General features: G+C 44.6%; 1 long non-coding RNA gene across 1 annotated transcript, besides 1 other annotated feature; it reads right to left on the reverse strand.

Moving 5' to 3' along the window:
* Positions 1-456: 456 nt before the first annotated feature.
* LOC124901936 (uncharacterized) lies at positions 457-997 on the reverse strand. The gene is made up of 2 exons (XR_007060892.1): positions 775-997; positions 457-702 (listed from the first exon to the last, which is right to left on the reverse strand). It is a non-coding gene; the product is annotated as an uncharacterized LOC124901936 (long non-coding RNA).
* Positions 1,145-1,645: an enhancer, noted in NCBI's record as "H3K4me1 hESC enhancer chr8:38558842-38559342 (GRCh37/hg19 assembly coordinates)". NCBI's record gives its function as "activates a minimal SCP1, AML or CMV promoter by ChIP-STARR-seq in primed H9 embryonic stem cells {active_cell/tissue: H9 hESC(primed)}" and the evidence as "EXISTENCE:reporter gene assay evidence [ECO:0000049][PMID:30033119]".

Genomic DNA, 2,189 nt, shown 5'->3' on the forward strand with positions numbered 1-2,189 from the left:
CGCCTGTAATCCCAGCACTTTGGGAGGCCAAGGTAGGCAGATCACCTGAGGTCAGGAATTCAAGACCAGCCTGGCCTACATGGTGAAACCCCATCTCTACCAAAAATACAAAAATTAACTGGGCTGGTGGTGGCGGGCACCTGTAATTCCAGCTACTCGGGAGGCTGAAGCTGGAGAATCACTTGAACCCAGGAGGTGGAGGTTGCAGTGAGCCGAGATCATGCCATTGAACTCCAGCCTGGGTGACAAGAGTGAAACTCTGTTGCAAAAATAATAATAATAATAATAATTTTTGTCAACTTAATATAAAGACTGTGCTAGACATATACACATGTATTTCATGTATTATACACCCTTTGTGCCTATTTTTCATATTTACTTTTATAAGCTGCCTCTTTTTTGTGGGAAGGAATAAAGCATACTGCAAATAAACAGTTTTAAAGAAGTATTTCCTAATTCTTGGAGAGATAGAAATGGCAGTTTTATTAGTCAATAACTCCTTTCATTTGCAAGTATCACAAACACGACTCCAATTGGCTTAAGCCAAAAAGGAATTTCTTGGCTCACTGAAGAGTTTCAGGCACAGCTGGACTCAATGGTTCAAATAATAACATCAGGACTCTCTCTGTCTCCATGTCTCAGCTTTGTGGCCTCTGCTCGCCTTCATTTCCAGACAGACTCTTACTTCATGGCAGCAACGACCTGGAGAAACAAAAGAGCGTTAACAAAAGGCCCAAGAAAACTGATTGGCCAACTTAGGTCATGTGCCCCTACCTGAGCCAATTGCGGTGGCCGGGATCATGGAAGATTGACTGACGAGGTCTTCGTTCCATATCTTTAGTAGAGGACAAGGTGGGTTTCACCACAGCCAAACTAAGCGAGTAGTATTATAGAATTAGGGGCTGGGAGATTCCGTAAGGAAGGAAAGCTGGACAGACGAAAAAAACAAAAGCATATCTCCACTTGAACAGATCTGATAGATTTTGACCAACCCACAGCTCTTTCTGGGTTCTGTAATGAAAGGCAATCGGATGCAATGGAAATCCTGTCTAGGAGCCGGGAAACCTAGAATTAGTCCTACCTTGGTCACTACTACCTGTAGTAGCTCTCTAAGCTCAAATATCTCATTCTGATGAGATAGGGAAAGATAAATGCCCACCTTACCTAAAATGATTCTGGTAAAACTTCAAATGAAATTATGAATGCAAAAATGTCAAGAATAAAGGATCATGCAAATATATGTTGCATGCAAATAAAAATAAAACTTGGAAATCTGTATTTCCCATTGTGGTTTCACATACCTTCCCTTTGAGAAACCAAGAGAAAAATCAGTGCATTGTGGCTCTGAGGCCCATACCTCGCTTAACCTTGGCAGTTCACTTTAACTGTGCTCGAAGTCATGTTGAAATGTCCTCAGGAAACAGGAAAGGGTAGCAGCTAAAAGTTGAAAACAGTACTGACGTCACACTATGCTAGTTTCTTTCTAGGAACATTTGTATCCTGTCTGTCTTTGCTTTCCAGCTAATTAACAAGCCCGTGACCTTCCTTAGCACGAGGATGACCACAGTCCAGCGTGGAGCAGCAGGAAGTGGACGGCCATGGAATTGCAATCCAGCTGCGTCCCAGCTCGGTGGAGGGCCAGAGCAAGAAGCCAGGCATGGGGGCTCTCTGAGAAGCTGAGCACTTCTGGATGGGAAATTTGTTTGAAAATAGTCATATGCAGGCAAGGGGTGAGCACGTAGAATTATGCACAGGGCCTGTGTTTCACCCAGTTACCCAGAGAAACCTGCACTAATTGTTCTCAGCCAACAACACAGAACAGTTAATGCTCTGCTCCGAACAGGGAAGCAAGGCTTTTGCCCACGTTCCTGCTCATGCCTGCCAGACTACGGCAGGAGATGGGAGGCGCAGCCAAAAGAAGCTCCAGCCAGCTTCTCAGCAGGGAATGCTCATGTGTAGGTGACTGTCTGCAGAATGGGGATTTGAGAGGTATACCCGCTCCCCAAATGCAACCCTCTTATCCCCTCAACAGCCTGCCAAGTTGCTGCCTCAAATCCCCACAATTCAGACAGTTCCTCTAGAGGCACAGTATTGTCACCAGAAAGCCCGGTTAAAATACAGATATGGTGAGAGGGTAGATAGGGAGAGAGACTAAAAAACCCATTAAACCATTATCCTCCATTGAACCA

Source organism: Homo sapiens, chromosome 8 (assembly GCF_000001405.40).
Source record: "Homo sapiens chromosome 8, GRCh38.p14 Primary Assembly".
NCBI classification, from domain to species: Eukaryota; Metazoa; Chordata; class Mammalia; order Primates; family Hominidae; genus Homo; species Homo sapiens.